Source organism: Homo sapiens, chromosome 2 (genome assembly GCF_000001405.40).
Source record: "Homo sapiens chromosome 2, GRCh38.p14 Primary Assembly".
Lineage (NCBI taxonomy): Eukaryota > Metazoa > Chordata > Mammalia > Primates > Hominidae > Homo > Homo sapiens.
Window position 1 is genome coordinate 64,468,683 of NC_000002.12, and position 14,727 is coordinate 64,483,409.

Consider the following 14,727-nt stretch of genomic DNA (forward strand, 5'->3'; position numbering starts at 1 on the left):
TTTGGGAGGTGGAAATGGGAGGATCACTTGGGGCCAGGAGTTCAAGACCAGCCTGGGCAATACAGCAAAACACAGTCCCTTCCATCACCTACAAAAAAAAAAAAATAAATGTTTGTTGAATGAATGAATGGTAGCCAAGATGTGGTATTCATTATATATCACTGTGCAAAAAATTATTCCAAAATTTAGAGGCTTAAAATGATAACAAACAGTTAAGATCTCACAGAGTTTCTGTCAGGAAACTGGGAACAGCTTAGCTACATAGTTCTAACTCAGGGTCTCTCAGGTTATATACAGTTAAGCTATCAGCCAGAGCTGCAGTCACTTGAAGCCTTGATTGGGGCTAGCGGATTCACTTTTCAACGTGGCTCATTCACATAGCTGTTAGCCGCACGAAATTCTCCACAGAACTGCCTGAGTGTAGTCACAACGTGGCAGCTGTGTTCCCTTTAGGGACTGATACAAGAGTGAACAAGGTAGAAGCTGCAATGTCTTTGATGCCCTAGCCTCAGAGGCCACCCTTCCACAATATCCCATTTCTTACATAGGTTAGCCCTATCCAATGTGAGCAGGAACTACACAAGGTATGAATATACCAGGAAGGGAAACTGTTGGGAGACATCTTGGAGACCAGCTACACAGATGGCTAATTCTTGCAAATTCTCAGAATTATTTGAGTGGTTGTAGAATTCCTAGAAGGTAAATGACAGTGGAGCCAGAGAAATGCTGTTCATGGCTATTATGTTTCCCTAGTATTACAACCCCCACCCCCTACTACTGTTGCCTGGGATTAGTGTTTTCTATAGAATGTCTTCACTTGTACATCCAGATCCTCAGAGTAAACTATAACAAAGAGAGCATGAAGAACCCAGAAATTCCTAGTGGATTGAAAATAGCAAAATTCCACTTATGAAATACGATGACAAAGTCTTCCTAAAATTATGGTAGAGGGTAGAAAATCAGTTCTTATTGGGAACCTCAAACAAACATAAATGTTTTTGAGAAAAGTACTCAATTTTTTTTTCAGTTCAAAGAGAAATGTAACTACTCAGAAAATGTGTGAGTTTTCCTTGTCTTCAAGTTTGATGTTTGGTTTTAATGGAATTGGATAGGAAGATAGACTGAGGTAGCAAAATCCATTAGTAGCCTGCATCAAAGGGCTCAGATTCAAATGCCTACAAGGGGAAAACATGTGATATTAAAGAAGCAAAATGGGCCACATGGGCAGCTGCCACCCAGACCTAGCCATTGTTGCCATAAATAAATGTGAGCCCTTTATTGCCAAAGCTTCTGGATTTTCTTTTAAAAGAAAAGCCAATATCTATTAAATGTTACATGTGAAAATAATTTTAACTATGTGGATTAATATGGCCCTTGATCTGGCATACTAGCTGCCAATTTGCAATCTTTGCTATGAGTTAAAGGGCAGATGGAGTAATAACCAAGCACCTGAATGGGTCCTGGCTACTGCTTGGGGGCAGAGTGGCGGGGGGCCCTTTTGAGAGGCTACTTGGCCTTTTGAGTTCTTCCAATTTACTGAGGAATTTTTCCATTCTCCTTTTCACAGACATTCTCTGCATATCTGAGAGTTGGGGGTAGGAGAGAGGGGGAAACATGACAAAGGAGTAAGAGAGTCTCATAACTCAATGGACATAGAAGCTGAAAGGAACAGCACACTAAAGCATTCTCATGCCACCGTTGGAGCTCCTCGTAGGTGAAAGGACCTTCCAAATGAAATCACTTCTGTAGACTCTAGCAGGACAACCAGCTCCTTACATAGTCAAAGAGAAAACCAGCTTTTGGCTTTCCTCCCTCCTCGGTAATAAAATCATCTGGGACTCCAAATGTCATTGGCTGTGCAATCGGGGTGCCTTCTTCATATCAGGCGGTGGTTTTGAGTGAAGTCAGTGCCTCTCCACTCAGAGACGCTGTGCAAAGGAAAAGAACATGAAGACAGACACATTAGGATTCAAATCTTGCCACTTACCAGCTACATGGCCTCCTTGCATAAGTTTTGACAAGTCTGAGCCTCATTTTTCTCATCTGTAATATGGGATAGCAAAAATCATCCTTATAAGATTATTGTAAGGATTAAACAAGAGAAGACCCCTAACCATTAGGGTTACATCAGGGTGACAATTCTCTCACCTGATATTTTATATTCTGGGCCTTAACTTCGCAGTTCATAGTCTACCTGAATAGTAGAGCTTGCAAGTTTCTCACGTTGCAGATGAGAAAAACCAGTCCAGAGTGGTTAGGTGACTTTGTCAATGGTGGGACTTTGCTCCTCACTGCTTGTCAGGACCCTGTGCAAGTCTTCCTGAGATGACACAAGTGGGAACCAGCTCAGGAAGAATGATGAATGGCCCAAGACAGCAATGTTCTGTCTGGGCTGCTGAGGCCACTTAGTGGTGAGCTGGGACCCTGGCTACTGTCTTGGTTGATCCTACAGGAGAGGCTCATGTGCCTGACCCACCTCCCAGCCATGGTTGGAAGGGATTAATCAGTGGCTGGGAATGCAGCTGTGACAGCCATCCTTATTCCAGTGAGCCACCTGAGTGCACCCAGCGCTACGGCCAGGTGGAAAACAACCGCTTAGGCCTTAACGAGCTTGTTCAGCTATAATTCTGGGGAGTCCTGAGAGCCCTGCTAATTACCCCATTTTGTTGTCATTGTTGTTGTTTGGTTTTGCTTTGTTTTTTGTTCATTTCAGGTTTTCCTCACTGAGCAGGCCCCTGTTTTGGTTAGCTTGTCTCAGTTGTCCATACTATCACATACCAGTTTCCAGGCAGATTTCAAATAATTTGCAAATGCAGGAGTACGAGACTGTGTTTGTAGTTGGCTGGATTCGAGCCTTCCTCAATTTGCCTGAATGGCTTCCATTTTTAACCCAGAGAGCACACTTCTCTTTCTAATCCATTCTAGCACCTGTTACAACCTACCCAAGGCACTGGAGGAGAGAGGAGACAGATTTTCTTTTATCCACAAAACGTAACTCCCTGGTTAGGCAATGAAAAAAGCACCAGGCTCTTTTGAGGTCAGGAGGATGAGGTGTAGTGCCCCGTCACAGGCTTTTCTGAAAAACAGTACGTGAAACACTGCCTGCTGGCCCTATCATAAAAGTGAAATGAAAAGTTGGACTGTGTTCACATGACAGTAAGTTCAAGGTACACCCTACCCTACCCACTCCAAGGCCTAAAAAAGGGGAAATTCCTGTGCTCTAAATTTGCTACAAGTGGGATGTATGAATGAAACAGAGTACCAAACAGACGAGCAAGTTCTGGGTGGCTGATGGTCTGCAGTTGGTGATGGACACCACGGAATCATGCTCCAGAGACCACCCACCTTCCTGGGGCAAGGCCTGGGGTCGCACTCTGGAGATGAGGTCCTGCCTGTAGAAGGTGCCTGTGAAGAACTGAAAGCTCTCTGGAAGGACAGTATATTGGCCTTAGAGATCTGAGACGTGAAGCCAGGTCTAGGGTGAGAGGGGACTGACAGAAGGCATGGAGCTCATTCGTGAAGTGATCTAATATTGCCATTTTACAGGTAAGGAAGCTGAGGCCCAGAGAGATGAAGCCAATTGCCTAAAGTCACACAGTTTGGAATAGATGTAGAAACAAAATCCAGATCTCTTGCTTCCTAAGCCAGGACTCTTTGCAGGAAAAAAGCCAGTAGCAGGAGGTGGTGTGAGAAGCTGAGGTGAGATGGGAGTTCCCAAGGCTGCTAAAGAGGCTCTGAAAGGAAAGTAGTCAGATACTCAAATCTGTCCTATGTTTCCCAAGGATTATCACAGCTTATAGAGTAGTGAAAAGTGACCCCTACCCCCAAGAAATTGAATTTTGCTTCAAGGGTAAGGAAAACATCAGAAAAAGAGAAGGGTCATATTCTATTTCTGTATGTATGCATGTATGTATGTATGTATGTATGTATGTATGTATGTATATATATAGAGATGAGGTCTCCCTGTTACCCAGGCTGGTCTTGAACTCCTGGGCTCAAGCAATCCTCCTGGCTCAGTCTCCCAAAGTGCTGGGATTACAGGCATGAACCACTACACCTGGCCTCAATTTAGTTAGCTGCCTGGCAAAAGAGAAGGGCTGAAATGAAGCACTCTCAGGTGAACGTGGAAGCTGTCTGCAAACACAGTAGTCTTCTGGAATCATTACAGACAGTAGAGATCTATAGAAATGCTTCCAGCAGAAAGTCTGTTGAAAGGGAGCAGAGACAGATTTATCATCTGTGGCACCTAAAAATGACATAATTATGCTAAGACAGGGACCAAGAACCAACGTTGCCAGGCATGCCCACTGGCTACCCTGCAAACAGGCACTGGTTTGAAGAGATGGCTCACCCACGGGTCCTGGGATTTTCCATCTTGTGGAGGACTGTTCACTTCCATGAAATGGGGAAGGACAAGGTTCTAAGGGGCCTTCCAAGATCGGTCAAGTGATGAGACTATGGACACTGAGAAGACATGGGGTGGGGATAATGAGGAGGATGGGGATGCAGGACCCCAAGTTTCCCTAAGTCTATTGGACCTCCATACCCTGAACCAGGGCCCTGAGCAGTCCACATGGGGGAGGGACAGTGCATGTATTTGGCTCCCTGGTGGACAGGAGGTCAAGTCCAACGGGCTGAATAGCAGAACCTGCTGCAGAGCTGGGGCTTGCTGCATCTGCCTGTTTCACTGAAGCTGAGGGAAAGGGCACTCGATTCTGAAGTTCTGCAGACGTTCTACTGGGGTGTCTGTGGTTCTGTGAAGTACATGACATTGTCTTCACAGCCATATCCTCCAGTTTCTGGTCTTCTCCCTCCCACCCACACTCCCAAGAAGATGAACATTTCACTTCGTCCACTAAATGACCCATAAGTTAATATGGGAGTTCCAGGTGGTAGAGGACACCAAGGTCAAGTGTCACCTGGGTCTCAAGGGAGGAAAGGTGCTAAGAATGGCCCGGCTCTGCTGTAGGTAAATTTCTCTCCATCTCACTCCACCAACCTCCTCATCCCCCTGCATTCTAGATATATGCTGCAGTCACAAACAGCTCTTGAATCTCAGGGACTTAAAACAACAAAGTTTATTTCTTGCTTGTCGCTTCATGTCCCTCTCAGGTGGGTAGAGGGTGCTGAGCTCCTCATCATCCTCACTCCAATCCAAGCTGATGGAGACTCCATCATGGGCACCAGTCACCCTGGCGTAAGCACTTAACACGTGGGCCTAGTGTTTCTTATGATGAAATCTGTTTTCTCCCATGATGTAGTTCTTTTGAAGATGGCATAATCAGGGACAGAAAGAATGAGAATTCTCATTACAGGGCAGTAAAAAGGCCAAATAATAAAGATTTGGGAAACCGATTCCCAATTTTAAAACTGCCAGTTACTAGCTATGTGACCCGGGGTAATTCATACACTCTGTGAACAGTTTCTGCGGCCTTATCTATAAAATCAGCAACATTGATTTGGGTCATGTGAGTGTGCTTTAAGATGTAGGCTTTGTCATCAGGCATAATAAACTTTGGCCCTCAATTTATGGATGGTTTTCAGGTCATTGACAGTGAGCCCAGTCATCCAGGCTCTGGCCCAAGCAGGACTCAGGCCCCTGTCCATTCCCTGGTGAGAGGAGCCAGGTGGTAGCTTTGTGGGGGTCCTCAGACTCACACTACACTTCAGGTGGTCAATGCGCATTCCTGTAGTCATTGCATCCTATGGCCTCTGGTCTCAGAAGGGCTCGGTTTCCGGAGGAAACATTTAAAAAGTGCCTCTGCTTGTCAAACACCACTTTGAGACCTTCAGAGAGCATGAATGCAAGACTTCCTCTTTTCTGCTCTTTATCTGAATTGCAAAGGGCAGCTCCTGTTTCCAAGAGCTCATGGTTTGATACGGATCACACAGCCTGTGCCCTCCTGACAGGCTCCCCCTGTATCTGCCAGCAGGCCACCTTCTGAAGCACTAAGATGCCCAGTCCAGTCTTTTCTGACAGACTCTTGCCTGGACAAGAAGGACTGACAAGCTTCCTATAAGCATTTGATAAAGCAGAAGATTGTTTTTTAATCACACCGTTGAAAATAGACAGTCTCAAACATTGCTGGTAGAAGCATGCATTGATTCAGGCTTGCTGGCAGGCCATTTGGCAAAATGTATCAAAAGCATTAAAAATGCATATGCCATTTGAGCCAGGAATTCCATTTCTAGGAACTTACCCTAAGGAAACAGTCTAAGATTGAGGTGCCAGGGAATTCATTACATCCTTATTTAGAATGGGGGAAAAAAACTGGAAACAACCTCAATGAGGAGAGCAATGTTAATAAATAAATGTGATCATAAGATGGAATTCTGGGCTGCCACAACAAGTGACATTCCCAAAACACTAAAGAGAAAGACAGAAGAAAAAAGCAGTATGATACAATACAATCCTATTTTTAAAATTTATTTTACTTTATTTTTATTTGTTTGTTTGGTTGTTTAAACACAGAGTCTCACTCTGTTGCACAGGCTGGAGTGCAGTGGTGCGACCACGACTCACTGCAGGCTTGACCTCCCAGGCTCAAAAGATCCTCCCTCCTCAGCCTCCCAAGTAGCTGGGACTACAACCACATGCAGCTAATTTTAAAATTTTTTGTAGAGATGGAGTTCCACTGTGTTGCCCAGGCTGGTGTTAAATTCCTGGGCTCAAGAGATCCTCCCAACTCAGCCTCCCAAAGTGCTGAGATTACACATGTGAGCCACTGTGCCTAGCCTAAAACCCCATTTTTATAAAACAGTATGAAGGACATATTTCAAGAGGTGATGGGAATTGTATTGTCTTCCTTTCGTTTCTCAGCACTTCCTAATTTTTCTGTAGAAAATGTAAATCCATCCAATCTTCCAAAAAGTAGATTGACCAATCTATTACAAGTAGTAGTTTTATTGAGTAACTACTAGGTAGTTTATTGAGGAACTACTAAGTATCAAGCACTCTGCTGGGTCAGTACTGAGAGATGAGATTCCTGTTCACCAGAACTTTTCTGTTTATTACCACTTGTGTGATTTTTTAAAATTATTTTTTCAGTTGTACCAGTTAGGTATTTTTTCAGTCTAGAATCCAGGGAGTGAGTTATATCAGAGGCTTTCAAATAGTTCTAGTCCACAAATCTTCTTAGTGTTGCTAAAAACCCACTGATCTCCTGGTTCTTTCTCCCACACCCCACTGCTGCTTGCTATGGCAAATCAGGCAAAATCTTTGGCAAGGCAGTAGGGAAAGCCTGACCTGCTTTTAGAGAAGGCTATACTCTGTTAAATATCAAAAGGCAAGTTACTGATTTATGCTAGAAACAGAAGGATACCTGTTGTGTATCCTTGAGTGGATGAAGAGTCAAGGGTGGCTGTTGGACAAGTCCTGCTGATGAGTTTGGGTGGCTTTCACAAATCCACTAAGCTCTCCACTCCACACTTTCATTCTACCAAAAAAAAAAAAAACAAAAAAATGGGAACAATAGTGTCTGCTCTTCCTATGTCACTCCTTATGTGAAATAAGGAAAACATTATCTGTCCTGCCTGCCTACATGAGGAGTCTGCACAGCTCACATTGACCCTTTTGAGAGCTAACCTTACTCTAAGTTGGGTCTCCGCAGCCATGTTTGTACTAGACTTTCTCTCCTGGGATTTTAGAATGGGTACCAGGAGACTTAGATTCATTCTGAACTGGTTTTTCAAAAGGAAGAAGTAAAACACCTTGGTTGCTGGGCTTGGCCATCTTTGGTTGAGGAATCTGAATTACAGAAGAACAAAGCAGTTTGCTGAGAGAGGCAGAGCCGAGAGACAAACAGACCTGGTGGATTTCCACTTCCAGGACCCTGGCCTGATCTAGGACTGGGCTACATTCTTATCTTCAAGTTCAGGAGAATGCCCTGCATTGTTATAAAAAATCCTCCAGTTTTGCTCAAGCTAGTTTAAATCGTCTCTGTTTTCATAACTAAACAATTCCATCTTACACTCTTCTTCAAAAATTCTGTGAGAATCAAATAGACTTGTTTTATTTTATTTTTAGATGGAGTCTCCCTCTGTCACCCAGGCTGGAGTGCGGTGGTACGATCTTCACTCACTGCAACCTCCGCCTCCCGGGTTCAAGCAATTCTCCTGCCTCAGCCTCCCAAGTAACTGGGACTACAGGCGCCCGCCACTACACCCAGCTAATTTTGGTATTTTTAGTAGAGACAGGATTTCACCATGTTGGCCAGGCTGGTCTCGAGCTCCTGACATCAGATGATCCGCCCGCCTCAGCCTCCCAAAGTTCCGGGATTATAGGCATGAGCCACTGCACCCGGTCAAATAGGCTAATTTTATATGAGACATTTGAAAACTCCTTTAAAAAGAAAGTCCCCTGACTTTGCAGTTAGGGTAGGAGCTCAGGGTCTGACTGGTTTTCTTTCTCAAAATTCAAACAATTCTGCTAATTTCTACTCCAACCTCATCCCACATTCAAAAGTACATGTCACATCCAATTCCTGGGCTTTCTGGGGGATCTGTGGCACAAAGTAACTTGATACTTGGGTTGTATATTGGTTACAATAAGTAGTGCTGGCTGCTGTAACAAATAAACCCCCAGTTCTCAGTGACTTGACAAAATAAAAAGTTAATGTCTAGCTCATGTCAAAGTCCAGTAGTGCTGGAAGGAAAGTTCAGCTCAATCCTATTATGTGGGAACTCAGGTTTCTTCCACAAACTGGCTTTGTCATTTCCAGGGCCTCGAAGTCCTCTGCACAAGTCAGCAGGACTTGTCCAACAGCCACCCTTGACTCTTCATCCACTTGCTCCATCCACTCACAACAGGTATCCTTCTGTTTCTAGCATAAATTAATAACTTGCCTTTTGATATTTAACAAGAGTATGGCCTTCTCTAAAAGCAGGTAGGACTTTCCCTACTGCCTTGGTAAAGATTTTGCCTGATTTGCCATGGCAAGCAGTAGTGGGGTGTGGGAGAAAGAACCAGGAGATGCATGGGTTTTTAGCACCGCTAAGGTGGTTTGCGGACTAGGACTAATACCAGAGGACTCTGGATCCTCTGCATCGAGCCTGCAGATATAGGAAGAATGAGTGAGAACTCAGAGGTCTCCTGGGCAGTTTCTCTGGGGCCGGGCCTGAAAGCAGTATATATCATTTCTGCCCATATTCCACTATTCAGAGCTTAGCTACATGGCCCCACCTACCTATGAGAGAGGTTGGAACCATATAGTCTACCTACATGTCCAGAAGGAAAAGGAAAAGGGAAGGAGGTTTAGTGAACACAGAACAGTCTTTACCTCCATTTTCCAGCCCCATATCCTCTACTCCTGTTTTTAGTTTTCTCTAGCCTACTGTCATTTAGCCAACAATACAGGGGCTGACAAACAATGGCCTAAGGGCCAAATCCAGCCCATGGCCTGTTTTCATACATAAAGTTTTCACTGAGGCTCAGCCATGCCCATGTGTTTACTTACTGTCTATGTTGCTTTCATACTATAATGGAGCAGCTGAATTGTTTTGACAGAGCCCATGTGGCCTGCAAAGCCGAAACTATTTACTCTCTGGATCTTTACAGAAAAAAATTTGCCAACTCTACAAAACTACATCAGCTTTCCAAATAAGAGTGCACAATCTCTCCTGACTGTGTCTTTTCCTCTTCTGTTTTTGCCCCTCGCGGGCCACCTGCTGCCCCGGGTAAACCATCAGGTGAGACAGCCTCTGGAGAATGGCTCCAATGTGCTAAGGAAGAACTTGGCTGCTCATTTATTCCTGAGGTTCACTGGGTTTGGTCATTTTTGTAAAATTGCTGAAAGTTTTATGTTCTAAAGTCTAAGGATACTCTTTCTGAATTATTTTTTTTCTTATTCAACTTCCAGATGATGTTCTCATATTCACCTGGAAGTGCCATATAAGTTTTCAGCTAATGGAACAGAAAGCAAACAAGATGAGTGTGGTCAATTAAAGAATAAAAAATGGGTTAGAGAAAGAGCAAAAATTGGAAAGAGATGAGCAATGTTACCACAAGTCTCACAACCTACAACACCAACCCTACCCCCTCTAATACCTTGTTGTTACTAAAAAAAGACTGTGAAATAGGATTTATTGCATACATTGTGCTATCTTTGTAAATTCAGAGATTACATGTAATTTAGACCATTTTAATTAACAAGGATTATATGTTGCTTCATTGTCCTTTATTACGTATATAATGTCATAAACTTTGCTGCATGATCAAAGGTTCTTGGATTCTGTTTTAAATAAAGATTTTGAGACTTCAAAAGAACCTACCTCCCCTCTCAGATGGCTTCTTCTAGCCTAGAGTTCCTATGATTCACAGCAACCCCATCCAACCCCCAGTGGCTCTGCCCAGCCCTTCTGTGGTGTTTCTAAGCACATAGGTCTGGTTTCAAAAAGAACCCACACCTCCCCGCCCTTCCTGGAGCTCAGAAAATGAGCTTCCAGCCTCCAGGTTTGCTGGCCTCTGCCAGAGCCCATGCCCTGTGGGCACATGTGCCTGAAGGAAGCCGGGCCCCTGGTGGAGGTGCCTTGCTAGGGGGGAGAGGGCATGGATCATATGGTAAGGCGGTGGGTGAGCCACCCTCTCAAGCCACAAAGAGACACTGGGGATGGGGCTGGAAGATTTGCAGACTCTTCTGGGCCTCACCGGAAAGTGCGGCTCTAGCCCCCAAGCATGTAAGGACTTTTTTCCCCTAGGCATTCAGAGGCTTTTTCAGTGTAAGGAACATGGCTATGCTTCGGTCAGCGATAGCCCCAGGTAAACACCGAGAGTGATTCAGCAAGTTTAGAGCATAGGTGTATTACTCCACTTGTCATCACATCCATGTAGCCATAGCATGGGAAGGCTCATCATTTGGCTCTAAGCCACTATTGTCTGTAAAAGGTATAATTGCCCTGCTGACACTGTATAGGCCCGCTCATGCCCAGACAGAGAAAGAGTTAAGCTGCTGACCCTGAAGGGAAAGCCAGCAGCGCAGCTGTGCATGGGAGCAGCCAGATCAAGCAGCTGAGACAGAGCAGACCGTGTAAGAGAGCTGCTGATGAGAGAGCTGCTGAATAAAGCTGTATCTCACCTACCTACAGCTCCTTAAGTGTTCTTTCAGCTATCTGCCATTCATCCACCCACTCCCTTCAGACCTCAGCATGGGCTGCAGCCTAACCCTAGACCTGACATTCAGGAAACTCCCTTTTCCATGAATCACTGAGCCCCTCTGAGACTAGAGCTTCCAGTTGCTCCTCTTGAGATCAGCAATCAGGGCAAACAATCAGCCAAAGCGCCCGCCTCTGCCTGCCACTTTCAAGGGCCCTGCTAGCATGTAAGCTCCATGGAGACAGGGACCTTTGTCTCATTGCTGATGGATTCTAGGACAGTCCCTGGTACTTATCAGGTGCTCAATAAATATTTGTTGAACAAATGGCTCTTAGATGATGTACTTGGAAACGGCTCTCTGCTTACTAGTGTCCTTTTAGCACTATGGCATTTTTATTTCTTAGGAAAAAAAAGCTTTTATTTAGGTAAAATTTATACACAGACAAATGCAAAGGTATTCCTTAGCACAATTTGATGAGCTTTGACAAATGTATTACCTCTGCAACCAATCAATATTTGTAATATTTCCGTCATCATTTTCAAGAAAACAACACCTTTTGTTGCTTAGTTTGGGGCCTTTCCTCACTTTAGAGTTCTTGTCTTATTTTACTCTACGATAAGGACTCGGCTGCCTTCACCTTCCAAGGTGTCCCAAGGTATAAGCTCAGTGAGGCTGGGATGCTCCCCAGAGGCAGGCAACTAAATAAACATTGAAGTATGCACACCTGGACGGTCTGAAGGTAAAGCCTTCAGATGCACGGAGAGGCACCTGCCCTGTTTCTGAGTGCAGCGCTGGGTTCAGAAACATGGAGAGAAGATCCTGGGTGGAAAAGCAGAAGAGGCTTCCTAAGTTGAAGAAAGGACAGGGTCAGGGTTTGAGAAAGGCCAGACAATGAGACACAGAAAGATCACAATTTTGTCTCAGGTCAGATCTACTATTCTTACAAACAAAAGGATTTCCTTCTTGATCATTTCAGTGACTAAATAGCATGTTTCATCTCCACACCAAAACCCACACCCCAGGTTTACAAGTGAGCACAGTGTCTTGTACCCAGTAAATGTTCAACAAATGATTCTAGGGTGGAATTTATTGAACACCTATCTTATCTCATGGTACAGCTGCACCTGACCCAATTAACTGCAACTCAAAGGACCCTGCAGGAAATGGGCTAAAAGCTGGAACCCATCAATAGCATCATGATCAAGAACACAGATTCTGGAGTCAGGTTGACTGGGTTCAAATTCCAGCACTACCACTAGATTTGTAACTGTGTGCATGTCATTTAACCTCTCTGTTCCTTAGTGTCCCATCTGTAAAGCAGAGCTGATGAGAAGGATGAGCTTCTTATTAGGATTAACCAAGATGATGCACATAAAAAGCATAGCACGTGCCTAGCATATATGCGTGCTCAGTAAGGGTCAGCTGTCATGATTCACAACTCTGAGAATAGGGTGAGCCTCACAAAAACACACCTAGCTGCAGGAGCTTAGCAAAAATTATCTAATCCATTCTGGAGCCAAGCTGCAATATTGGTAGGATGTGGCCTCGGTGGGGCATGCACAGTCCCAGCAGACAAGGAGCCTTGGAGAGTCTGACAGGAGGCTGCGGAACACCCCAAGGAGCAAGGACAGAAAACTTTGGAATTCAGAGATGGTAGAGATTGAAGGATAGCCTGGGAGAAATCCTTAACGTGAAAATGGAAGTTAAAAATAGATGACTTGTCTCAGCAATGAGAAGGCAGATGTTATGCCTTCAAAACTCATATGTCCAATTTCTTCCCCCAATTTTTTGTTCTTACCCCAATTTTGTGTGTGTGTGTGTGTGTGTGTGGTTGTGTTGTTTTGAGACAGGGTTTCATTCTGTTGCCAGGCTGGAATGCAGTGGCACAATCACAGCTCACTGCAAACTTGACCTCCTGGGCTCAAATGATCCTCCCACCTCAGCCTCCTGAGTATCTGGGATCACAGGTGTGCCTAACCATGCCCAGCTAAGTATTGCATTTTTTTGTAGAGATGGGGTCTTGCCACGTTGCCCAGGCTGGTCTCCCGGACTCAGTGATCCACCTGCCTCAGCCTCCCAAAGTGCTGGGATTACAAGCATGAGCCACCATGCCCGGCCTCTCCCCAATTTTTTGTGGGGCAACTTGTTTCATACCAGACATATGCTCAATCTGAGGTACGCAAATACATCACACATTTGTCATAAGGGATTATCACAATTAACAAAGAATATTGAAAATACAAATAGGAGGAAAAAGAATTTACAATGTATGTTCATGTTAGTGGGCCCCGCTACAACGTAATTCCAGCTCTGTAAATTGGATTGATACTGAAATGCAGCTGCAAGTTGGTCCGGACTGTGAGAGCTAGGGTCTGGAAAACTGGGCATCACTGCAACCCTAGATCACAGCAATGCAGGGAGGGAGAGAGGCACATCTTCGATGAGAAGCTGGTTCCAAGTTTTTTTTTTTTCTTTTTCAGGCCACTTTCTCAACATCATGATTATTAATTATCCTTCTCTATAGTACCTATTACAAGGATCCCCTCCAGGGAAAAAGCAGTTGACCTTTAAAAAATGTAGTCTTTAAAAGGTTTAGACCCATGACTCTTCCCTCTGTGATGTTCTGAAAATGCTTCCCTCAGCAGTTCAGCTGTGACCCACATGGCACAAATAACATTTCAGGGAAATTACTTGTCTCTGTCTCCGAAACTAGGCCTTTACATCTTCTAGTCTCTGTCATGATTTCTTTTGTTCAGCTGATGAGAACTCTATCTTGTTCTCTTGTTCAACCATCTTGGTGAAGGCATCAGAGTTCCACCTGTCCATTTGCTGATACAGCTCCCTGGGATATAGCTCAAGAAGCCAAGGCTGAGCTTTCCTGCTCCTTGATGTGGAGGCCCAGGATACTCTCTCTCAGAAATAAAATTCCTGGTTATCTTACTTCACTGGGATGGGCAGCCCTCTTCAATAAACAAGAGCTGTCACAGCGCCTTTGGAAGCAGGTGGCACTGCCCCCTCCCTGGCAGGCTTAGCCTTTGGTTAGCACAGAAGCAGTTTGACTTGAAGACTGAAGAAGGGATTCCTTCCCAGGGGACTTGTTCATCTGGCAGCAGGTCTGGTTAGAAATTTACCTGTTGGCACAGAAATAAAAGAACAGAGTAATTCGGTGAAAGCATTACAATCAACAGGTCAGCCCTTTCTGAGTGAAGGCCTGATGTTGGAGTCATCACACCCCACCAGCAGGAACGAGCTGGCCTATTATCAGATAAAAACAATTAACTGCCTGCCAGGAGGCAGCACGCTGCTGTGGAATGAATGTCCTTCGCTTGTGTCCCAGCGCTGCCACTTCCTGGATGAGTAGTCCTGAGCAAGTGATGTCAACTTTCCAAGCTTCTATTTTCTTATTTGCAGAATAGAACTAACAAAACCAGCCTTGTAGGATTGGGAGGAATGATTGTGTGAGATCAGCAGTGGAAAATGGCCTGCAATGTGCTTGACACATAGTAGGCCCTCATTATTGCCAGTTTCTTCCCATGTTTCCCTTCCCTGCACTTTTCCCTCTCCTGTTGGCTCCTAGGAAAGCATGGTGAATGGGAAGAAATTAAAAGTGTGAAGAAAAAAAAGGATAATCCAGGCA